General features: G+C 40.9%; 1 protein-coding gene across 6 annotated transcripts in view, besides 1 other annotated feature; it reads right to left on the minus strand.

The window, feature by feature from the left end:
* Positions 1-26,335, minus strand: part of KCTD1 (potassium channel tetramerization domain containing 1) — a 202,564-nt gene that overhangs the window by 18,277 nt on the left and 157,952 nt on the right. For all 6 annotated transcript variants that reach the window (NM_001258222.3, NM_198991.4, NM_001258221.2 and 3 more), the window contains 1 exon segment: positions 3,329-3,473. In NM_001258222.3, the coding sequence (NP_001245151.1) occupies positions 3,329-3,473 (145 nt within the window).
* Positions 7,321-8,520: an enhancer, noted in NCBI's record as "P300/CBP strongly-dependent group 1 enhancer chr18:24060471-24061670 (GRCh37/hg19 assembly coordinates)". NCBI's record gives its function as "activates an origin of replication core promoter dependent on BRD2, BRD4, P300/CBP, MED14 and CDK7 cofactors, with strong dependence on P300/CBP, by STARR-seq in HCT116 cells {active_cell/tissue: HCT116}" and the evidence as "EXISTENCE:reporter gene assay evidence [ECO:0000049][PMID:35650434]".

Below are 26,335 nucleotides of genomic sequence, written 5' to 3' on the forward strand. Positions count from 1 at the left end.
GGAAGAGGCATATTGGAAATCGCTCCTTGGAATACCATGCAGCCATAAAAAGGAATGAGATCATGTCCTTGCAGGGATATGGATGAAGCTGGAAGCCATTATCCTCAGCAAATAACACAGGAACAGAAAACCAAACACTGCATGTTCTCACTTATAAGTGGGAGCTGAACAATGAGAATACATGGACAAAGGGAGGGGAACAACACACACTGGGGCCTGTAGCAGGGATAGGGGGAGGGAGAGCATTAGGATAAATAACTAATGCATGCAAGGCTTAATACCTAGGTGATAGGTTGATAGGTGCAGCAAACCACCATAGCACGTTTACCTATGTAACAAACCTGCACATCCTGCACATGCACCCCAGAACTTAAAATTAATAATAATAATAATAATAATAATAATAATAGTAAAAAAGAAATCACTCCTCAATATGCTTCCTTTCCTGAGCTGGAAGAGATCACTACTGATGAAGCGGCTTTTGCTTAGGAGCCATGTTGCACAAACCAAACCCCCATGTCTTCAAACCCTGGAATCAAGCTCAGTGCGGTGAGATGCACGCCATTGAGGGGGCCTTGGGAACTGCCCTTGGCTGGGAGCAGCGGGCTCCTGTGCCTTCCTCAGGCTCATTCCAGGGCTGCGGGAAGCTCATTCACTGGCTGCAGTTATTACACTCTCTCTATTTTCTTGCCAATTGCATATAGTTGCCATGTAAAATAAATGTGCACATGATGCAACTCCTCTGTGCTCTCTTTTCCATTTGGCTAATAATCCTTGGCATGTGCCCCACTGTTCAAAATCCTGAAGGAGAAGATAACTAAGGGGCCCCTGAGCTTCTTATTAACTTGGGATCTACTCTTCTGGATCTTTTTCTATGCATTTATATATGCATACATACCTGATCTTTTACATAAATAGAAACATACTATACATATGGTTCTGCAACTTAATATTTTCACTGAATCATGGAATTACATGATTTTCCCCCCACATATCAACAGATACAGATCTACCACATCTTTTAAACTAGTCTATAGCATGGATAGTCTATAATATTTGTAACCATCTGCCAATGAACTTTCTTTTTTAGAAAGTCCAGTTTTTGCTATTATAAACATGACTATAATAAACATCCTATATATAAATATCTTTACAGATTTACCTGAATATTTCTAGCAGATCAAAGAGTATGTATATTTGAAACTTTAACATTTACTGCTGAATTGTCCTCCAAAAATGTTTAATGATTTTGACTTCCAACCACACCGTATGTTCCCTAACACTGTATATTACACATCTTTTTAATTTTTGCCAATCTAATGGATAAAAGGGAGTATCTAATTTTATTTTTATTTGATACAAAAGAAACTGAATGTCTTTGCAAATGTTTATTGCCAATTTCTGTTTTTTTCTTTGGGAAAATTTTGTTCATAGCTAAAAAAATTTTTCCACTGGGTTGTTTGTATGTTTCTCATAGATTTTTAAGATAGATCTTTTATGATGGGTATTCATCTTTTGTTGCAAATGTTTCTTATGGTCTGACACTTGTCTTGTATTTGTATATGATGTCTTCAATTCAACTATTTTTTTTAAAGGATAGCTTCTGGGTATGAAGTCTCATTTAGACAGGCCCCTTCTGCCTCAAAATTATACTTTTAGAAATTTCTTTGTATTTTTTCATAATACTTTTATTGCCCTCGTTTTTGTATTTATTTCTGAAATTTTTGTGAATTTATGATGTAGGATAGGGCTCTGGCTTTACAATTCCCTCAAATGTCTCAGTGGTGATCGTCTCAGCACCTATTACTGACTATTGCTTTCTTTTCCCACTGATGTGAAATGCCACCTTTATGGTACATCAAATTCCTATGCACCTGTACATCTATCTCTGGACCCTATTCTTCTCCATTGATTTGTATATTTCAGTGCTGTCAGAATGACACCTTTAAATTAATATAGCTCGAAAGTCTGTTTTGACGTTGATAGGACACATCCACCATTACCCACCTTTACCATCATTACTATGACCAGAAATACTTTTTTTTAGCTATCCTTAACGCTTTTTTTCTTCTACACAAACTTTATAAATGGTTCAAATTTCATTTTGAAAAATCTATTACTTAAGTGGGTTTGCACTGACTATATAGAATAATTTGAGGATAACTGACATCTTAACAATATTGAGGTTTCCCATCCAGGAACCTAGAATGTTCCTTCATTTATTCAACTCTTTTACACTTGTGTGTAGAGATCTGCAGTTTTCTTAATCAGCCTTTGCTTGTTTCTCGTTAGGTTTATTCCTAGGTGTTATAATTTTTGTTGTATATTTTTCTATTATAGCTTATGATTGGCTCTTGCTATTCTCTAAAAAGGCTATTGACTGGCTGGGCACAGTGGCTCATGCCTGTAATCCCAGCACTTTGGGAGGCTGAGGCAGGTGGATCACCTGAGGTCAGGAGTTTGAGACCAGCCTGCCCAACATGGTGACACCCCGTCTCTACTAAAAATATGAAAAATTAGCTAGGCGTGGTGGTGGGCAGCTGTAATCCCAGCTACTCGGGAGGCTGAGGCAGGACAATTGCTTGAACCCAGGAGGCAGAGGTTGCGGTGAGCCAAGATCACGCCACTGCACTCCAGCCTGGGAGACAAGAGCAAAACTCCGTCTCAAAAAACAAACAAACAAACAAAAAAAGCTATATATTGATCCTGAATTGAGCTGCTTTAATGAGTTCTTTATAAGTTCTAATAGCATTAAGTTGACTTTTTAGAATCATCCATTTGAAGAAACATTGTCAGCTGCAAAAATTACATTTTCGTGAATTCCCTTCTAATATTAACACTTTCTATTTGTTCTCCTTGTCTGACTCCATTGCCTAGAGTTACCAGCACAATGTGGGCTATCTCAGCGTGACTAACCTTAACACTTATTACTAACTGTAAAGGGAAGAATTCTAAAATTTTACTGTTCATGTTTGCTTTCGATTTCTAGGGGCGGGGACGGGGAAGTCTTCATTAAGCTAAGGAGGTTTCCTTTTATTCTCTAGCTCTCTAAGACATATCAGAAATGAGCTTTGAATTTAATCAACTCCTTTTCAATTTGTTCAAGTGAATTATAATTCAATTCTTTAAATGAAAAGCGATCCTCTTTAAGTCATGTAGAAGTTTAATGGCCATAACCACTATTTCATGAATAGTGAACCATGTCAAAGAGAACTCTGGCACCTTTCGAGTTGGTGTATGTTAATAATGTAGAACTAGAAATATTTTTTTGGAGCACATAAAAAAATCACATATTTATGCTATTGGTGATTTAACATGGATCCCTCACCTTGAAATCATCAGGAATGAGGAGTTTGGATGTTCGTAGAAAATTCAAGATATATCTGAACATCTGTCCATCTCTGTCAATGAAATAGTGCTGTTTGAGACTGTCCAAAACAATGGGCTCTGTACCATCAAAAAGTCTTCCGATTCTGTGATAGAAAAGAGGGAACAGTGAAGACAATTAGATCAATTGTTCGGGCACTAGGACTAAGAGGTGTCTTTTATCACTGTCAAAGGTAGCACTTTTGAAGATGGCAGTAGGGAAAAATTACGATTGTCTGCAAAGTGTTGGTCCCCGCTTGATAAATATCTCAGGACGAGACCATTCAAAATAGTCCTAGGCTTTGTCAAATGAATTCTTTTATTCACTGTCTTTCACCTGCAAAGAAAATGTTCCTGACATGGTGATTACGGCTAAGTGCTGTCACTGTAATGGAAGATCACATCTTTCCCCGTGTTACTTAAAACAAGCATCCCTGATACTTAAAAAATGTTATTGCTCCAAAGCATCTTTGAAACAGGTTCTACTAAAAAAGCAATTTTGTTTTTAAGAAATCGTTTTCTGAGTTTTCCCCAACCACGAATCCCAAACTTTCTAAAAATAAGGCAAAGCCTATATGTTGACATCTACATTTAATTATATAAAAAAGAATAATTTAAAATGTCACTCATCTAGAAGAATATGTTTTCCACTAACAATATACACTACAGTTTCTTAGGTCTCAGCGCAAAAAGCATTTTTAACAGCCAGGCACCATTACAAAAAAAATTTGGCCACCCCCAAAATATGACCTGTTCCAGAACATGAGTAGCTATGCTTAAAAACAATGATCCACATTATGCTTTTCCCAATTTTGGAATGAACATTTGTATGGTGTGCTACAGTTGAAGTGTTTTGCATCTATCATCATTTATCCCACTAATAAAGGCTGAACCTATACACATTAGTATATACTCAGTTAATACAAGGTGGTCATATCTATACTGTGAAAACATAGAGGGCTGGCTAATGACATGCAAGCATTCCATATCAGAGAAGAGAAATCTCTCTCTGATTTGGAACAATATCATTTTGTTGCTCTGAAGATGATTTTGAAATTATACATTTTCTAATCATAGGTTGAAGTGGGGCAGGTGTAATGATAAATCAATAATTTCACCCCTCTTAAAATACAACAAACAAACAAGTAGGAAAGCTACTTCCCTCTCTCCCCCAGAAGAAAGGCATGTGAATTTTTGTTTCAATAGAAATCTTTTAAAGATAATTTTAAAGTTCATGTTTTAAAATCATGTTTAAAAACTCATGTTACGTTACTCTGAAGGTAGTAAGTGCAAAGAGGAAAGCAAGTAATTATGGTAGGGTTATTTTCTAAAATTCAATAAATATTTTTGAGCTAGCATTTTATCCAACTTTCCACGAATTGCCTGTGATTATCCAGGGTGTGGATTACAACCTTTCTGGGATTCTTTCACTGCATGCCACCTAGTCATTCATTTCTCACTGACACATCAATCAAACAGTAGGCCTGAAACTAAAATATGCTTAGTCACTTACTTGTAGTGTTTCCAGGACAATTTGATACAGGATGAAAAAGAATGAGATTTGTTTGCCTATTATTAAAACATTTTACTCTTCACTCTTAATAACATGATAAATTTCCAGTTGACAGGGGAAGAAAAGGGAGCTATATTAAGTGCTTTCCAGATGCCTTGTACCATCCTTAGTACTTTATATATGTAACAAATCCATTATCTTCATTTTAAAGATGAAGAAATAGGCTCGAAAAGATGATTAACTTGCCCAACTAGTTAAGCAGCATTGGGGTATTTGTGCACAGTCTGTCTGGTCCTAAAGGGGCCTCCCTTACAACGATTGGAATGAAAAGAATTACCAATATCGAATGAAAGCTTATGGTCTAGAGTTTTATTTCTGCCATATATTTGTGGAGTGAGAATTTTACAATGAAATCCAAGCACCTATACCGAAATAAGTCAGTATCAGTGATCTTGTCACTTTAGTAAGAGAGGAAAAGTAGGTATTTTGTTCTTTTAAAAATCCTGTTTTTTAATTTTTAGATAAACTCTCATTTTCAGGTCTAGACTTGGATGTACGCTTGCACAGAATGAGTGATTAATAAACCTATACGGGGTGAATGTGTAAAGGAACCAGGACTGAGGAGTGCGGAATGAGAATGGGGTTTGGCTAGTTACTAGCTGTAATCTAGGTGAATCGACTTCTCTGTCTCCATTTTTTTTAAAATTAAGTCTCACTTTGTTTTATAAAATAACTTTAACTTTTTCTCAGGGTTGATGAGGAAATCCAGTGTGCTCGTGGTGAACTCAAAAAATGCACAGCAATAGAAAGTATTCCAAGCCAGTCAACAAAAATTTCTATAAAAGCAGCTCTTAAAAGACTGCAAGTGCTAAGGCACAGGATTTAAGGAGAAAAAGGAACAATCCTGGAGGTGCATTGTTTATAGACCTTTCTAAAAATAGGAGAGAAGTGTCATTTAAATGGTTTTTAAGATGCAAAAACCAAGAACAAAAAACAACCTCGGGTGTGGATGCAATGAGGCATCTTCACTTCCAATGTAGTTAAAATAGAAAAAAGCTGCAAAGAGAAGAGCAAGAGGGAGATCTGAAGCGAGCACTAGCAGAGCTGGCCCCACGAATAACCTAGAGGCCGCCTGGGCGTCCGGGTGGGAGAGACAGTGGGGAGAAGTGGACTCTTCAGGCGGCCTCCACCAAGACCAGAGGAGACGAAAAGCTGAGGAAGGCCTGAATTCCACCCAGCACAAGAGGAAACCTAGCCAGGGAATTTTTCTTATGAGGGGGTCCAGTCAAAGGGCAGCAAGAAAGGCCCAGGCCCTGTCTCGGGGGCCCCCTTGCCTGGTGAAACCGCAGACCCCCCGCCAGGCCGTGGGAACGCTGGCGGCCAGCTCGGCCAGACCCGATGGAAGGGGCTGAAAAACGCGCGCTGCCAGGGCAGAAAAGGCTGCGTGGGCTCCGTGGAAGCAGAGCAGGCAAGGGGTGTGGAGAGAAAGAGGAAAGGGCTGGAAGGGAAGGGTGCTTGGGCCGCGGAGGCACAGGCCTGGCGGAGGTGAAAGCCTCTCAGAGAAGAAAACGTTCCCCATTGGAAGCAACAAACGCTGGGAGTAATAAAAAGAAACGCAGGGCTGCTGATTTCTGCCAACTTTAAAAGGAGGAACGTTGGAGTTGTGAAAACACAGTGGAGGGGGCACGTGGTGCCAAGGGTCGTAAAATGGCGTCCCTGGGTGGTTTTTGAGATTGGCAGGACTGTGCTGTGGAAAAGTATTGTTTGGCTAAGCAAATAATGGGGAAAATCGGCACAGGCTGTATTTCTTGTGGACATGTGAATGGAGTTACAAATCAAACTGCAGTGATTTGTAAACTCTGATGCCTGAAAACTATGTGGAACTCATTACAGTTTACTAACCTTGGAGAACATTCCTGTTTTCCAACTAGCCAAGACCAAGCTGGCTCCAGACGATGTATGGCTGGTTTTGGAATTTTTTTTTTTTTTTTTTTTTCACTCATTGAATCAAGTGGCAATGCTGAGAACGACTTTCTTCCACCAATTTCTTTTTGTTTTTTAAGGATGATCATTACTATTTTAACTATTTTTTTTACTTTTTAAAACATTTTATTTTGAACAATTTCAAACTTATGCCAAAGCAGAGAAAATAATAGAATGAACCCCCATATGACCATCAACCAGCTTCAAAAGCTGTCAATTCCTGGTTAATTTTGTTTCAACTCTACCTCTATGCCTCATTCTCCTTTCCACTGGTTATTCTGAGGTAAATCTCAAACACTGTATTATTTTACTGTACATATTTCATTAACTAATAAGATTGGAAAGTTCACTCAAAATATGTTCACTAAAAAAAAGTTCATTAAAAATGACAGATACTGAATTCCACTCAATATTAGCTTTTTAATATTAGCACTCTGAGGCTTGGGCATGGTGGCTCATGCCTGTAATCCCAGCACTTTGGGAGGCTGAGGTGGGCAGATCCCAAGGTCAGGAGTTCAAGACGAGCCTGACCAACATGGTGAAACCCTGTCTCTACTAAAAATACAAAAATTAGCCGGGCGTGGTGGCACGCACCTGTAATCCCAGCAACTCGGGAGGTTGAGGCAGAGAACTGCCTGAACCCGGGAGATGGAGGTTGTAGTGAGCCAAGATCATGTCACTGCACTCCAGCCTGGGCAACAGAGCGAGACTTTGTCTTAAAAAAAAAAAATTAGCACTCTGTTGATTACTCTTGTTTATAGAGCAAATAATGCAAGACCTAATCTCTGAGGAAACCAAGCCCATTTGGTGGGAAGTGAGTCTGGTTCTCTCCACTCTCCCTGGCATCGTGTGCTGTCCACACTGTGCATTAAAGAATGGTCTTAAGTCAAAGAGAGTATGGGGCTAGGATCCTACATTTGGCTTAGCGTGAATCATTCATTAAGAATTTTTTCTTGTGTATTCATTCATTTTATGGACCTGATATCTCTAATTTCCTGTGACTCAGGTTCTTAAGAATTTCTTTGTTTCTTGTGTAATCATTCAGTTACTCATTCACTCTTTCCACCAGTATTAGTGGGGGCTCACTATGCCAGATACAGGGGATGCAGTAGTAAATAAGCCACAGTCCTTGCTTTTGTGGAATTTAAGTCGTCGGGGCTGGGAGTGTGGGTCAAGTGCAGTGTGATCAAGTGTGTCACTGGGTGTGCACAGTGGGCTCAGGAGGTGCACCTGGCTCACCTAACTCAATCTGGGGTTGGCAGGGAAGAAAGAGAAAGCTCATTGGAGACCTGAAGGAGAAGAAGTTGGCCAGGTACAGGGGCAGGAGGTAAGGTTAGGTAAGCAGGGAGAAGGGTGCGGAAGATACAAAGGCTTGTAGCCAAACCCTGCCATGTGATTACTCTCTATTGGGGTGTAGTCAGGCTGGCTGAAAAATGAGGCTGAAGCAGCAGAAGCCAGATCGTAAAAAGCCATGTGAGCCGGGTCAAGGAGTTTAGATTTGGTCTCAAGGGCAATAGCGACTGGTGTCAGGCTATGTTGTCAGGGACAGTAAGTAAAAGAGCACATTTAGGAGTGAGACAGTCAAGGTGCCACATCTGAAATCACGCCTTCTCACAGACACAGCTTCTGGCTTATCCAAATCCTGTCTGTTTTGCCTTGCTTTGACTACATCATTTGCATAATGCAGTGGTTCTTAACCCTGGCTACACAGTGGCATCACCTGGGCAACTCTGAAAAAATAATGATGCTGGGCCCCCATCCCCAGCTATTCTGATGTAATTGGTTGGGAATGAAGCCCAGGCATCTGTATTTTTTTTAAAAAAAACTCTCCAAGTCTCAACTGAGTTGAGAACCAGTGTAAAGGAGGTTGAGCAGAGAGACCAACGAGGAGGCAAGTCAACATCAATTGAGACCCTGTCATTCTGAAGTGTCAGAGCATACTTTCTTAAACTGTGAAGGATCTCCAGGACAACCAAGTTCAGCCTCTCATTTACAAATGGAGACACCGAGTCACAAATATGTAACACTCAAGGATGCATGGCTGGGTAGACACAGAGGTGGCTCCAGACCCCACCATGCTGCCCCTGTGGTGATTGGCACAATGGTCAACTTCAAGCTTACGGGGGACAATGGCTCTAATGCCAGTTACTACTCATTGAATAGCATTATGTGCCAAAGAGTGAGCTGGCTGCTTTAAGGGTTTATATCTCATTTAATCTTTAAAATGAGGTCAAGGAAATCATTGGTAGACTGAGAAGATACCCTACACTGAACTGAACCAAACCAAACTGAAACACCCCAAGACTCCTGAGGTTCCTTTCAAACTGCTGGTACAATCATAAAGAGGCCTAAGGAGGGATGGGAAAGAGGATTCTCAGGGCAATGGAAACCTCTGGGAAGAGTAGTACACATGAGGTTTCATCTCCACTTACCTTGCAGCTCTTGTTCTATTATGTGCTGTGTCCCTACACTTAATCCTGAAAACTCTTACGGGATTTGTCACTTTACAGCTAAGGAAGTTTAGCTTGAAGAGGCTGCCAATTCTGCCGAAGCTGTCTTCTGGCTCTAGGCTCTGTACCCCCCACCCTTCCCATGCTGCACTGTCTAGGGCACCCCATGCCACCTCATGAACCAAGGCATGTAACTCGACACCAGGCCTGGCTTTACCGAGAGGCCAGCAGGTTAATCCTTTCAACTCTCCCCTGTGGTCCATGCATGGTAATTACAGAGGGAGGGCTCATCTGCATTGCTGCAGGATGGACCAACCCAGAGAGGGTGGAGACATCCTGCTCAGGGGTGAGGCTGGGGAAAGAAGTGCAAAGACAGATGGACCACAGGATGAGGATGGCGAGAAAAGGGAAGGGCCCGGGTGGTTGGGCCCTTTTATCCATTTGGCTCTCCTTTGCCAAGAAATGCCTCTTTTTCTCTATGTCTAGGCTTCCAAGCCATGGGACATATGGTTTGGACTTTAGGAAAAGATTTCATTTAGTTTCTGGTCCAGAATTATTTTGCTGGCTAAGAGATTCAGAGGCTACTTACAAATGACATCTTTAGCATTTGGAGATATTTAATTATAAAAGTGATACCTGCTTATGTTGTCAACTGGAAAAGTATAGACGGTGAAGGAGCAGCAAAACAGAAGAACAATCTGCTGTGAGCCCACCACTCAGCAGGGAATTAATTTTAAAAAATCTGATTTAAAGAGTATTTTTCTTTCTTTTCTTTTTTCTTTTTGTTTGAGAGTGAGTCTCGCTCTATCACCCAGGCTGGAGTGCAGTGGCATGATCTCGGCTCACTGCAACCTCTGCCTCCTGGGTCAAAGTGATTCTCCTGCCTCAGCCTCCCGAGTAGCTGGGATTACAGGCACCTGCCACCACGCCCGGCTAGTTTTTGTATTTTTGGTAGAGTTGGGGTTTCACCATGTTGGCCAGGCTGGTCTTGAACTCTTGACCTCAGGTAACCTGCCCACCAAGGCCTCCCAAAGTACTGGGATTACAGGCATGAGCCACCACGCCCAGCCTGAGTATTTTTCTATTGAACCATTTTGTTTTTGGAAGCACTTGTAGCTTCATACTTTTTTATGGTTACTAATTTGGATTCTCAACCAACTTTTTTTCCTAATATCTGAAACCTAACATAGACAAATCCAGGGTGGAGGCTGGGTGAAGGTGTGTAAGTTGTGGGCATGCACAACGGAGATGTGTGTGTGTGTGTGTGTGCACACATGAGAGGCATGTGCAGAGCTGACACCGCACGTGCAACCTAAACTCAGGACAGCAGGAAGGGAAGGAGTCGTGGAGAGAGGAGATGGTGTTGCAACCTTTGCCTCCTTTCTGCTGAGATGAGAGAGGAATGAAACAAAGTGGGGGGAAGGGAAGGAAATGCTAGGTTAATATATGAAACCTTTAGAAAAGTATTCTCCCTGTTTTGCATATATTTTTAAATGTCCATAATAAAAAGTTTTTCTGTTAAAAAAGGGAATGCGATGCTGGAGATAATTATAGTGTAAAAAATATCATCAGTCAATTTGTTGTTTCAGAAGTCTGCATTATCATAAACAGCATTTAATTCGTTTAAAGTATTATAACTGTTAAAAATTCTAGGACTAGCTCTTTAAGATTTCCAGACTCAAGAAATTTCATCTATATTTCATGAACACAGATAAAAATTAATTCAGAGCTTGTTATAGAAATGGATAGAAGTAATTTAAGAGAAGGGGGAAAATACCTTCTAAGTAAAAACAAACAAAACAAATTATATCTACTTATGAGGAGATAATGTTTCTAGTACCTGTTCCCTGAGGTGGCATCATTTTCTTAAATGATACATAGAACTGAAGAAAGTAGGGGAGAAAGGAAAGGCAAGTTTGAAATATAAGAAAAAGTATGAGTGCAATAACAAGTCAGGAACTCGGCGTTTTGTAGAATCCATCACTGAGGGCTCAGGGCCACTCGGGGGTAGCTGATTCTCTGGTAAGCTTATTAATCCTCCCCTGACTTCGGTTAGAAAATTTTTAAAAATTAGAGGGTTACATTGACTGTTTACTATGAAAAGTACTATTACAATGAAACTGAATCTTTTTAGAATTGACATAAGTAGACTTTTTGTTTCTTCATTTACTGAATGCCCACCATGTTCCCTGTGCTCTTTGGGGCCTTAAACTGGGCATGATATGGTCCCACTGGGTGTCACGGAAGGACAGAGGAGAGGGAACCAGCCGGCCTAGGCAGGCAGGGAAGGCCTCCTGCTGGAGGCAATGACTCTGCAGGGTTTGGAGTAAGGGGAAGGGCACAGGGGCTTGGAGAAGAGATTTTAGCCCAAGAGCTCAGCTGAAGGGAGGCCACGGAGGCAGGAAAGAACATGATGTTTGATGGGTGACGTACAGACACAGCCAGTGAGGAGCATTTCTCTCAGTATTGACCTGAGCGGGGTAGATAAGGGCGCCATTATTCACAAGAGTTTTGGCACAGTCCTTCAGTCATGTCTTAGGAACTTCCTGGCATGTTCAGCTCCAAGACCCATAGACCTGGGTTTGAAACTTGCCTTGAGTTTTGATTTCTTCACCTGAGCAATGGGATAATACCTACCTCAAATAATTCTCATGAGGAATAAGTGGATATCTAATAAGCCCTACATTGAACTGAGTGTTCATCTGTGCAGGGCACAGTATAGAGTCTTGACACCTCCATGAGGTAGGTACCATTATCCCCATTTTAGAGGCAAGGACACCTAGCCAACTAATCAATGGTAAGGCCAGAATTCACAACCAGGCAGCTGGACCGCAGGGCCCAGCTGGGACCCACATCCTCACTGTGGCCATTCTGCTGCTCAGTAAAGCACTGTGCGTGGCCTTGGTAAATGCTGACAGATTTGCATCCTTGGGAGACAGTGTGCTATGCCAAAACAGAATTCTGACTGAATAGAAAATCCTGCATGCATCTTGAATTGAAAGAAAACTTTTAAGATCACCTGGGCCTGTTCTCTGACTTGAGTGTTTGTTTAAACATGATTTCTAGGGTAAATGGCTATTTGTCTAAAATCAGTTGAGGATCAGATCATCATAACCTCCCTGGGAAGCCCAATTTAGTATTTTTTTCAGCTAGAACAGTTTCTGTTTAGGTTTTCCCTTGCTTTTTATTTGGGCAGGCAAGCATGAGCATATGCACAGAACCTGCCCCACAGCCCACGCCCACCCTCCTCTCAACACTGTTCTATATTTGGAGGTATTTCTGATACACTCCTTAGTCTCTTAATTTAAAACTCCATAATGTGTTTTCCATTTCACAATAATAATTGCTATTCAGAGAAAAAAATGTTAAAATAGCTAACATGTATTAAGAGTATCAAGTACTCCGCTAAAAACTTTATGGATTATCTAATTTAATCCTTTTTTTTTTTTTTTTTGCCCAGGCTGGAGTGCAGTGGCATGATCTCGGCTCACTGCAACCTCCACCTCCCGGGTTCAAGCGATTTTCCTGCCTCAGCCTTCTGAGTAGCTGAGATTACAGGCGTGCGCCACTAGGCCAGCTAATTTTTGTATTTTAATAGAGACGGGGTTTCACCATGTTAGCCCCCATGTCTCGAACTCCTGACCTCAAGCGATCCGCCCCACTTGGCCTCCCAAAGTGTTGGGATTACAGGTGTGAGCCACTGCACCCGGCCCTGATTTAATCTTATTGCAGCTCTATAAAGTATTTTGATTTTCCTGATGGAGAAACTGAGTTATAGAGCCATCGAGTAACTTGCCAAGGGTTTCTGAGCTACGCAGTCTATTGTCCCTGAAGAGTGAGGGCCAGCACATGCTCGATGCTGTCCCCGACTCACAGTGTCCGTCTGTCCCAGAAGTCCCAGCTCCTTTCCTGCTCTGGCACCTCCTGCCAATCTTTCTTCATCTCGCAGTTGCGCTCTTTGTTACAGAACGAACTCTTTTGCATGTGTTCCCAATGAACCTAATCTGTGTTGGAAGGACTGTTCCTATTCCTGGGTTTCTCAGTATTCGCAACCCTAAATACTGGACTGGGGCCTTCCTGTGTGAAGAAACATTCTTGATTCTTCATCTGTGGTGTCAATAGCTCTAACAAATGGAACAGACTCTGGGCCCGTCCCCCTGTGACTGCTGCTCTCCAGGTGGCCCCGTCTCTCCCTATTTTTTGATTATTTCCCTTGGTGTTTTACTGTTCCAGACTGTTGGAATTAACTTGCATGTCACTGCAGTCACTTCATATAAAAACGTCAGATTAATTATATGACACTATGAGAGGAGTATGGCCAAACCAGCTATATCTATTTTCAATTTAACAATTTTTCCCACTTGCAATCATGCCAGCAAAAGAACAGTATTTAAATCTTTTGCTTTTTACCTATAAGTGAAAAACCAGAGGCTTAACACAGCGCTTAATTCAAAAAGAAAGAACTAGAAAATAGACGTAATTTACTTAGAGACTAGGTAAATACATTTTGGACACCTAACAGAAGATACCTGGAAGCAAGTAACTGAATCTACCCTGATTCCTTCACACCCCCACCTTACCCCTCCATACTCAGACACACACACACACGACTTCATTGATGGTATCAGTCAACGGAATATCTCTTCAAATATCTACAGTATTGAAAGGTGGTTGGATGAATGAAAAGGAATGAATTATTCTGTCGTTTATGATGTCAGAGTGACTAGGAAGCTTAAAAACACATTCAGAACCTAAGCCTTGCAATGACAAAGTCAAAGGAAGGAGACAGCCTCAGGACTGTGAGCTATATCTCTTGAAAAGGAGGACAGAAAGCTGAAAATTGGACAAGAATCCTAATATACAACTTCAAAAGTATATAGACATTTTAAAGAATCTATCAAAAGTCCATATTACCCAACATTTTAAGAATGTCTAATTGCTTCTTCAAATCACAGTGGAGGATGTGCCTGGTTGGCTTTACGCTCTGAGAAGCTTAAGGTTTCTAATTTATGTCGCAAGCTTATTTAAATAGCCACCAAATCAAAATGACATGTGAAAAATATTAAGTTTATATCAGCTAATGATTCAAAGACAACACTTGTGGGTGTGTGTGGTTGGGAAATACCCAAGAAGGCGCTGACAGCATTCTGCCCTTGGGTGCACTGTGGCCAACAATGCACGGTCTGTAGGTGTGTGTCTTGTGCAATTGTCTACGCCCTTCTGGGCTTAGTCGTGGTTTATCATAGTTCAAAAATTTACCTAGACGCCCCAAGCCAGTCCATAGCCATGCTAGGTGATAGGAATATCTATCAATATTTCTCCCTACCCCTCAAAGAACAGAACCAAGCCCTAACCTGAAAATCATTTCAAGAAATAAAAGTTTCCCAGCTAAGAAGGATTCCTCATTTTTTTCCTCTTCCTTTTAAGATGATCATGTACAGGCATTGAAAAGTTTTAGTAGTAGTTTGATGACTTCACTTCCCATAACTTCTTGTTCCACTAGCTTTTCATTCAGAAGGCCTGGGTGAGAAAGAAATACTTTTCTAATTTAAAAATCTGCATAAAGAATTATCAATGGGTTCCTCAAGAGCCTGACACATGGTGTACTTGGAAATACAAACCATATCTTCCCTGTTCAGCTTTTCTAATCGTTATAGACATCAAGCTAGGGTGAAGAATGGAACTTCATTTTTTTTTTTAACGTGGTTCCCTAGGTTTCCTTGGTTGATACAACAACCTTTATTCCAGTCCATTTTCTCTGAATTCCACCCTTAATGCCATTTTGTTCCTTCTGCAATGTATCATCAAAATGATGATGTTTTAATGATGTACCTTCTTTAGGGCCCCTAAGATTACAGATCAGTGGGATATACTTAAAAGAGCATTCTTTTTTTTTTCTTTTATATTGACTGTTTGTGTTGCTTTGAGACTAGGAGAGTTTTCAGTTTTTAGGTAAGCTCTAAAGCCCTCAGGACTTTCTAAGCTATTTTTTGAAAATCAATTTTTGGCGGGGTGGGAGGGGCCTCGCCAAGTTTAACGAGGCTGGGTGGGAGTTCAGGAACACACTCAGCTCCGATCACAGAAACAAGTTTGGGCGAGCTCAAATTCACCCTTCAGCTATGAAGCCCTCCCAGCCTGGCAAGGTTTGCCACTGTTTGAAAGTGGTGGTTAGCTGTTATGTACAGTTGTAATTTATCTTCTGAATATGAAGAACACAATAAGAAAAGTTGCATAAGAATAAAAATAATCATTACCACCAGAAAAGATAAACAGCAATGTTATTACTAAGCAAACTGACACTTGGCATTTGACACTCGGTAGCAGCAGGAAGCCATTATCCAACGAGTGTCTTTTCCACTGATACCACGTCTTGAATAGATTCAGACAGTCGGGCAAATAGCTGATAAAATTGTGGCACTGAAACATGATTTTTAAAAAACATTTTCATTTGCAAATGTCACTGCCGTCAGATTGGAGCTTCCAGGTGCCTACTGTTGAAATATGAACGCATGAAAAACACACACCTCGTAAGATTACACCTGACTCTCATCCCCTGCTCGGACCAGGACCATCCTGGGTACCTTCGAAAGGCCAGCACGGAAAGCATTCTGCACCAACGCAGCTGGCTGCTTTGGGGACAAACTGTCACCACTTCCTATCTCCAGGCAGCTTGAGAGTAATCTTTCAGAAGCCAAATATTGGTAATTCATCTAACTGAGGCTATAAATCCTGCATTTTTAGTAAAAAGAAATGGTATTTTTATACGCGACTTATATAATAATAATAGACTGAACTGTCTGGTGATGCGGTGGACCAGACTCTTCTCCTAACATAGCTCACGTTTCAGTGATCCATGTTTCAGTTATGTGGCAGTGGACCCATGAGATATCTTTCAGAGGGACTTTCTGATACTACTCATAGGAAGTTTGGGTTAGAGATAGTGTTTCCCTGTGTTTCCCAAGCTGGTGTTGAACTTCCAGCTTCAAGCAATCCTCCTGCCTGGCCTCCCAAAGTGTAGGGATTACAGGCCATTGTGCCTGGCCTGTTTTTTTTCTTTCAATCCTGAATATTTAAATGAAAATTATAACATCATGGTTTTGGGGTGTGAATAAATGCTTCTGTTTGGGAGTTGGGGGTAAAGGTTATTTTCCACGTTGGCCTGATAAAAAACATTTCCTCAGCTTGAGAATAACTTGTACGGGATTTTCTTCCAGCCTAGCATACGCATAGCATAGGTATCCTTGAAAGAAGATGTGTGAGATTCGTGGGCTGGGCTGTATGAAATAACATCTAAAATTTTAAACCCCTTTGAATGGAACTGTTCTCAAGACACAGTAAAGTGGAGCATATTTGTCACATGTTAACGTTGTAAGAGATTATCTGAATCTTCTATGAAATGCTTATGAATTTTTCAAACGAGTAAATCAATCACATGGTTTATTATTATAAAAGTTCTTTCTGGTATGATAAGGGTAGACTCGAAATACGATGAAAAAACAGAGCAAAAATGCCTGGGGTGTTGCTCAATGATATTATTCATGACTGATCAAAAACGAGTACAGTCAGTATTATTGTCCCAAGCGATGTGGATTGTGCCAGAGTCAATAGGAAAGGCCTCACTCTGCCAGTGAGTCTCCTGCCACACCACCATGGTGCCCATGGTACTGCATGGTGACGCGTTTACATCTCACCACCTTTCTCTGCAGCTCAGGTGCCCTGACTTGGAGAGGCATGTGGATTGTGGGGAAACTTAAAACTAAAGATTTTCCTCACAACCTGGGAGATATAGATTAAGTAAACAGCAGGTGGAGCTCAGGAATCTGCATCATTAGAAGTACCTCGAGATGACCCTGACACAGGGGGATTAGGGAAAAGCTATCAATTGGAGGAAAGCATTCTGAAGGCAGGGGACACTCTTCTGTTAATCTGGTTCATTGCTCTTTCCCTCCAGGATAGCGAGACTAGAAAATTCCTTTCTGGTTTGTGCCTTGAATTAAAAACGATGTAAATCTTTGCTGCCCATATTAAACTAGGCCAGGCAGGTCCTAAGGCTACTCTAGCACCTAAGACTCAAAATGTTTGACTTTCACACTGCAGCTGCCCTGGGGTGGCTGAGTTGCTCCAGGTCATAAAGGGAGATACTAAGCAAAATTCATTCACATTCAACAAATATTTATCAAGTGTTTGCTCTGTGCCAGGCACCGAAGACTACTGGCGGATCTGTTATTTGTTTTAAAACCTAGGGCATAGGTTTAGAGGGCTTTTTTTTTTAGATAGAGTCTTTCTGTGTCGCCCAGGGTCTGAAGTACAGTAGTGTGATCTCGGCTCACTGCAATCTCCGCCTCCCGGGCTCAAGCGATTCTCATGCCTCAGCCTCCCGAGTAGCTGGGACTACAGGTGCATGCTACCATGCCCAGCTAATTTTTGTATTTTTAGTAGAGATGGAGTTTCACCAGGTTGCCCAGGCTGGTCTCAAACTCCTGAGCTCAAGTGATCCGCCCACCTCGGCCTCCCAAAGTGCTGGGATTACAGGTGTGAGCCACCGCACCTGGCCCAGAGAGCATATTTTTACAATAAAAATTTAAACAAAGTTTCCTGGATTGGTGTGTGAGTGTATGCATGCATGCGTGCTTATGTGTGTTCCATGTAGGAGTGTGAACCTTGAGTGTCGCACTGGTTGTTGCATTGGCGGGGTGTTTTGGGGTCTACTGTTCCAGCAGCAACAAGAAAGGAGGGCACAGCAGGAGGGTGGTGACTAACACAGCCATGGGCCTCAATCCTCCCAGCCTGGAGAGCAGCCCTCAATATCCCAGTGTTGTCAAGTGCACCATTCTTTCCGGTGGGCACACAGTGCAAGGATCAAAGCTGGTCACTGACTGTTGCTAACAACTTTCTCTTCATAGGTACAAACAACGAGCCATCAGACAAGTGGCAAGGTCACTGGTCCAAAGTCAACTTTGTCCCTGGCTGCAGGCAGGCTTGCACACTGGACATGTGGGCCTGAAAGAAAAGGACTTCAGAAACCCACACGCAAATAAGAACAAGACCCATTTATCCCATTGCCCAGTCCAAGGCGGTCCTTTCCAAACTGTTCCAAGTCATGATACACACAGAAAATGATGGTGCCATATTTGTATGACACTAGGGTAGCAAGAGTTTTGTTCACGGCAGGAAGTGACTGGCCTGGAGCTCTGGCTTCCTCGGGGGCTGAAGGGCTCACATGGGTAACCCATGTCCCAGCACTAACAGAGATGCCCTTGGCTAGGGAATAAGGTGAAGGCTGCCTTGAGAAGAAAGTGGCTTGAAATATCATAGACAACTTGACCTTTTGTCTAAAAACCACTCTTAGAACACAGTTCCAAAAGGGGTGTGTTGGACTATATGGCTGAACATGGGAAACATTAAAAAATCCTGTGCCCAGTCCCTGCTCCAGACCAATAAAATTGGGATCCAAAGATCCCACTTGGGGTGGGCATGGTGGCTGATGCCTATAACCCTGGCACTTTGGGAAGCCAAGGAGGATCACTTGACCCAGGAGTTCGAGACCAGCCTAGGTAACAAAGTGAGACCTCGTCTCTACAAAAACATAAAAAATTAGCCAGGTGTGGTGACATGCACCTGTAGTTCCAGTTACTTGAGAGGCTAAGATGGGAGGATTGCTTGAGCCCAGGAGGTTTATGCTGCAGTGAACTGTGACTGCACCACTGTACTCCAGCCGGGGCAATAGAGTGAGACCCTATCTGGAAAAAAAAAATTGGAATCTTTGAGGGGTAGGGGCAGGCAATTTTTTGTTGTTGTTGTTGAGTCCCAGTTGATTCTAACCTGCCCCTGAGTTTGAGAACCATCATTATGAGGCTGGGAGCCGTGGCTCATGCCTATAATCCCAGCACTTTGGGAGGCTAAGGAGGGTGGATCACTTGAGCCCAGGGGTTCAAGACCAGCCTGGGCAACATGGTGAAACCCCGTCTCTATAAAAAATTAAAAATTAACCGAATGTGGTGGTGTGTGCCTGTAGTCCCAGCTACTCAGTGGGAGGATGGCTTGGGCCTGGGAGGTAGGATCATGCCACTGCACCGCAGGCTGAGTGACAGAACAAGACACTGTCTCAATAAATAAATAAATAAATAAATAAATAAATAAATAAATAAATAAATAGAACCATTGTTATCAAAGAGGAGGAAACAATAAGCATCATGGAGTCAGAGTGGGAGCTGGAGGCCTGGCTCTTACCCCATTTCCCAAAGAACACTGACTCTTAAGGTGAAGCCACTTAACCTCTCAGAGTTTCAGGGCTCTTCTCTGTAGGGATAGAGGGATAAATACAGTTCCTTACCTATAAGGTTATATCTGATATAACCTTATATATAAATACCGTCCCTACCTATAAGGTTATATGAAATAAACCCAACCCAGCCTTTAAATGTAACTTTATGATTTGAATAACGTTACTCAATTATTTTCCCTTCATTCTTTGGAGGATCTGGCCTCTGAGTACAATATTTTACCCAATCATTAATTTATACATTGAACAAACTTTTGAATGTCCACCCTGCGGCTGGGATGCTACCAGGTCCCAAGGATACAGGATGAAACCTCCCTTCCAGGGAGAGGGTTTCTGTCTATGATGAGACTGAGTTTTGGGTTAAGTGAGAAGTTACTGGAAGTTGAGTGTATGACCCGGAGTCCTGCCCTGAGTTATTTCATGTTAGGATACCCAGTATGACTCATCTGGCCATCAGAAGCTCTGGCAGGGGTGCAAATGTGCGATGTCTGTGGCTAGCAGAGTGGCCTTCATTTTCATAGATCCAGTGTGATTTGTGATAGTGACAAAATCTGCTTCTAAATCTAAACTGACATGCAAACTAGATTTTGTCTTGAAAATATAGATGAACAAAGATGTATTTTTTGGGGGGAAAAACATGTAGGAATAAAATTAGTTTTAATATAAGGAGAGAACTATATGTCAAAGTGGGCCTATTTATCATGTGTGTTCTTTTCTTTCTTGTTCTAGAAAAAGAACACCTAGATCTCACGCTTCCATCTAGATGTTCTTTTGCTTTTTTGAAAATTTTTGTGTGTACATAGTAGGTATATATATTATGGGGTACATGAGATACTTTGAAACAGGCATGCAGTGCACAATAACCACATCATGGAGAATGGGGTATCCATCCCCTCGAGCATTTATCCTTTGCATTACAAACAATCCAATTGTAACTTTTAGTTATTTTAAAATGTACAATTAAATTATTATTGACTATAGTCACTGTGTTGTGCTATCAAATACTAGGTCTTACTCGTTCTTTCTAGATACTTTCTGTACCCATTAACCACCCTCTCTTCCCCTCCACCCCCAGCCCACTACCCTAGATGCCATTAGCAAAAAGCTCAATTACTTTTGCACCAACCTAAATATTTTTCTTAATATCACTACTCACTGAAACCTTGCTTACTGGTGGTTTACTTGTTTACTGGCTGTCCTTCGCCCTTGCCCAGGTAAACTATAAGAGCAAGGACTTTTGTTGGTAACTATTTATGCATTGGCAGATGAGGAGCACACAGTAAGTCTGTTGAAAGAATGAAAGAACGGGCCACGCTCAGTGGTTCACACCTGTAATCTCAACACTTTGGGAGGCTGAGGTGGGAGGATCACTTGAGGCCAGGAGTTTGAGACCAGCCCTGGCAACATAGTGAGACCCCTGTCTTTACAAAAAATAGAAAAATTAGCCGGGTATGGTGGTGCATGCCTACAGTCCCAGCTACTCAGGAAGCTGAGGTGGGAGGATCACTTAAGCCCAGGAATTCAAGGCTACAATGAGCTATGATCCTGCTACTGCCCTCCAGCCTGGGTGACAGAGCAAGACCCTGTCTCAAAAAACAATCAAACAGGACAAAACAAAAACAAACACAATAGAGGAAACTCAGGCACTGTATGGCTATCTTTCCTTTAAATTAGGCTCGAAGACTTTATGAGCTAGATTACTTTAAAAATAAGGCCTTTTTTGTTCCCTAGTGGCAAAGGAAGTTTGCTGAATCCAGCAGTTGTGCAAGGTAAGTTACTGAAGGACTGGCTTTTCAGCACTAAACATAAAATCCAGTTTCATTGTTTTTTTAAAAGTCATTTGAAGCCAACCATTTCATTTACTCTTTACCTATATAACTGAGGAGCAATTTTGGAAAAGCAGTATTGTAAGATGAAAAGAAGAGAGAGAGAGAAGAGGAAAATTTCTTCTATTACCCTGGAGAAACTTTCCATTTTTCATTTGCCAGGTGCTTTCCCCCCTTTTAAGTTCCTCCATAAACTAACTTTTTTTTTTCAAAGATTAACCCATCTTGCCAACCAAAACTGTTCATCATTTTATGCGTTTCCTTAAGACTTTTCATAGCAGCAGGGATATGCTCTCTTTCCATCTGTGCCGAGACTACATAACGAAGGTTGATTTAGACTCATCTAAAAATCCCTAATACCTATTCTGTGACTTTTAAATTTGCTATCGACATTGAATTATAAAGCATGTGGATGTAGAGAGCAGGTTATAATAAAAAGCTCACTATTCCATGTCATGCAGTGATTCCGAAAGCAAGTGTAGTGAATAAATTGAATGCATTTTTTTTTTTGGCATTTCTGTTGAGATCCTAAAACAACGGCTTGCACGATGAGGCTGCTGAACCCATGTCTACGAACTGTAGTGTTAAAACTGGAACTGTAAAGTCATAAAAAGTGATAGCACAGAATCCCCAACCCTAATACAGGATTACAGCAAACTCCCTAGGCTGGCATACAACAGTTACAAGGAAAGCCAAATTGTTGAATGCAATTATCCTCTGAATGTATGCACCAATCCCTTAGTGTTGCAGTTGTCTGAATTTCCTTTTGGTGTAGCTCCACATAAGCAATCCGGTAATGGCTAACCCATCCGAGAATGACGCACGCCAAAAGCTGGATTGCTGCTGGCAGAGCACACATGTTTGGCATCTCCATCCTAAAGCTCCAAATACACACACCCCTGGGTGGCCATGGGTGTTGACTGCAAGGCTGAAAGTAGAGTTTCTTGCGTTTTGCAATTACCTACATATGCCAGCATGCTTAGTAACTCTACTGCTATTTAGAAGAGACCAATTTAACATAATCTACTTATGTGGGAGTTAACTCATGTACTGGGTTTAAAATATACAAAAGCTTTGTCAAGCAGTCAGGTTGGATGGCTGAGGGGACTGAAACATGAGATCTCACCTTTTACCTCTAGGTCATTGGTTGACAATCAGTGCTTTTATTTAAGACCCTTGTCTTATTACCACTTGATAGTAATAACCTATTACACTTGATAGGTTCGATGAATTAGTAGTATCAATCTACTTCTTGGTTTTAAAAATGGTTATCCACATCTGAATAACCATCAATACAGCTGCTATTAAGATTGTTTTTGTTGGAGGTAATAGTAGAGAATGAATAGATCTAACTTTGAAATCAGACGTGTTTTCTTTTAAAGCAGAAATTGAACGTATTTTCATTATGCATGTGGCTAAGAGGATATTTCAGTGTCAACAGTAGATCTTAAAGAAGCCATATAATATGGTACCAATATTAATTATTTATGAAAAATTACTTAGTTACCTAGATCTTTTATTACCAATGATGTTAATAAAGGGTGCCTTGGATTTTTGACTAAGATATAATCAGGTCTGCCCTTAAAATTTTCAGGGTCCAGGGCAAGAGTGCGAGTGGAGGGTCTACTTTGCATACTTCTAGATATTTACAAGCTACAAATCAAGCTAACAAACTATTAAACAAAATATGTTCTATCTTCTTTATCCATTTATAATTCTTTTTTGGTGGTAATATATTTTTCTTGACTTCATACTTATTTAAAGTGAAATTATTGCAGATCTGAACTGGGTGTTTTTCTTGGGGATTACAATTCAAAATGGCAGTCAGAACTGGAGACTCTTATGAGCCTCTGAAAGGAATCAGTGTTTACCACTCAGATGGTGGAGATTAACCTCTGTCTCAGAAACACCTCCTAAAGAGCTGTTTTGCATCTTACATACACATTGGTTAAGAAGAAATACATTACTGATATATGTAATACTTCAGTTAATTTGAAAACTTTAGTCCCTTTAGCTAAAAAAACACCTGATGATGGAGATGAATGAACAACATGAGTGGCTAACCTTGAGGTGTAAAAGTCAATTTACTCACTGAATCATTACTCAGGGTTTACAAGCTAAAAAAAAGCATGTGCACACACACACACACACACACACACACGCATTGGAACCACTGGTAACCTTGGTAATAAGAGAAATGAAGATTGAAAGCTATTTTCTTTTGGTGAAATGGCCATTATGAGATACATGAAATAATCATTGAGGAAGAGGCCTACATTCTCCAGAAGGGATCATACATCTTGGTGCCATTCAGAGTCAGATGGTGAAAATCAAGACCTCTTTGGAAAACTGCAGAGGTTCCTATTTTATTGGTCTGGAGCAGGGCCTTGCATGGCTTTTTAATGCTTCCCAGGTGCTTCTAATGTTCAGCTGTATAGTCCATCATAGTACTTTTTGGGGACAAAGTTCTAAGGGTGCTCTTTAGCCAAGAGGGTAGGTTAAGTAGAGACAGAATTTTAAAAACACCTACAACATTTCAAAACGGAGTAAAGGTTCTTTGCAGGAACTCTGAAATTGTAGAAAGATAATATTATATCTTTTAAGGTCACTTGTTACATACAAATTAGTATTTTTAAACTACAGGTCTTTCCCTTGAAATCTTAGAAAAAGCCCCCCTATCCTCTGGGTGACACTAAGGAAGAGGTAGGTGAGGGTGGAACCAGGGGATCCAAGAGGGTGGGGCAGAGAATGGTCCCATAGGGTAGGAAGGGTTTGAAGCACCCCAGAATCTACAAAACTAACTGGAGTTATTTGTGATTCCATGGCCATGGGCAACCTAATGTCCTTGGATTTATCCAAGAGGGGTTGATAATATGCAAGAGACTTTCCCAGAAATTGGAAGGAGCACCCGACGCTATGGGAAAAGCATGAAGAACTAGTTCTTCTCTGTTTCTTTGATTACTAAAATTTGCGTATGGGTCCCATTAAATTGGATGTTGCTTTGACATGAACATTTAATTACCTACAAAAATACGCCCCCCAAAACCCAAGAGGAAACAAAGCAATACCCAATGGTCAATTCAACAGCAAAACCAGTGTTACCTGAGCAGCGTCATTTGCTTTAGGTATTAGCAGCTGAAACAGAAGTTACTTTGTAAGGCTTGTTTCAAAGAGTCTTGACAAATTCTTAAAGATATCTCCTAATGATAAGGATGTCTCGGAACTTGTGACCGGCTGGGGTATTTAAGATAAAGGAGGAGAAGGTGCAGGCCAGGAGTCCCCTGAGACGGGAGTCATCCAGGCAAGAATCCAGATGTAAAGCTGCTTCCATGGCTAGGAAAGCAAGAAATGGAAAATATTTGGAATTTGAGAAGAAACAATTCCTGGGTTTGGCAGAAGATTAAGTATGAAGACAATGCTACATGTTGGGCACAGGGCCACGGTGTGCTTTTCACAATCACATTTAATACCCCCAGTAACCTTGCAAGGAGACCTATTTGTGCCTGTTTTACACAAGAGATGACAGGTGTTCAGAAATCAGACCTTTCCATAGCCAAAGAACTGTTCGCCATTTGCCAGCATCCAATCCGAGAACCAATGAATCACAAATTATTTTTGCTGTTGCTCCTGTGATCCTAGGACTCACTGGTGACAGAAAGCAGAGGGCAAGTCTAGGAAAGGAAGATCAACAATTCTATCTTTTCTAATTACGTTGGTGAAAGAGACACTCGCTTTTTTATGTATTTCAGTATCAGGTTAGGGGAGGGGTAGGTTTAGTGAGATGCTTTTATAAAAACATCTGTTTCATAGTTCAGCGCTGTCCAACAGAAATAAACAGCAAGACACATGTAATTTTATATTATCTAGTAGCCACATTAAAAAATCAAAAGAAACAAGTAAAATTAATTTTAATAATGTTTTATTTAACTCAACATATTATCATTCCAACATGAAATCAATTTAAAAAATTACTGAGTTTACATTTTTTTGGTACTAGGTCTTTAAAAATCAGTGTATATTTCAAACTTAGATGATATTTCAATTTGGATTGGCCTATTTAAAGCGCTCAATAGCTGTACGTGGCTACTGGCTACTGTATGACACAGCGCAGGTAAATAAAGTGATGAGATCCATGGAATTTGATGCATGTTTCAGGGTTTGGATAAGAAGGAACAAAAATAGACTCTTAGAAATATCCATGGAAAGATGGGCTGAGAAAGCATCTCCAAATGGGACACTATTTGAAGTCTTTACCTCATAATATATAGCGCCAGAATAATGAAAGTAGCAAATTATTTGAGAGATAGGAACTGAATGAATAGAGCCTCTCTCCCTCTGTCTTCTACTTTGGCCAGGAGACCAAGTGATACCAGGGAGCTTCCCAGGGGCTAAATCCTGGCGGGAATGAGTCAGTGGAAGGAGACCCACCTAGTTACAATGAGCATAGAAGAAAACCTATTGCTTAAGTCACAGAAAATATAGTTTTTATTAACTTCCCTCCTGTCTCAAGGTTTAATTTACAGAAACTGAAGCAAAAGGCCATCAGACCAGACCAGTAAATCTTGCTACAGTTGAAGGTTTGCTTTTTTGTCTCTTAATATGCATTTTGTGACTTAAACCCTAGAATTAAATTCATCTAAAGAGGCAGCTGTGATTTTCTGTAGTTGATGGTGGTATTAACAGAGGGTCGGAAGGAATGGAAACAGGCATTTTCAAAAAGAACACTACTTATATAACAAAATTCTTGAAAAATAAAGCCATTATTATAATATGATTTTTCGTAGTACCTATTCCAATATACTTAGGGAAGGTGGGGACTAAATAATACTAATAGATGACTAATACAATCATTTCATTTTAAAGTATATAGTCTTTTGGATAATTGAACAAATGGAAACCTATTTTATTTAAATCA

Source organism: Homo sapiens, chromosome 18 (genome assembly GCF_000001405.40).
Source record: "Homo sapiens chromosome 18, GRCh38.p14 Primary Assembly".
Classification (NCBI taxonomy): Eukaryota; Metazoa; Chordata; class Mammalia; order Primates; family Hominidae; genus Homo; species Homo sapiens.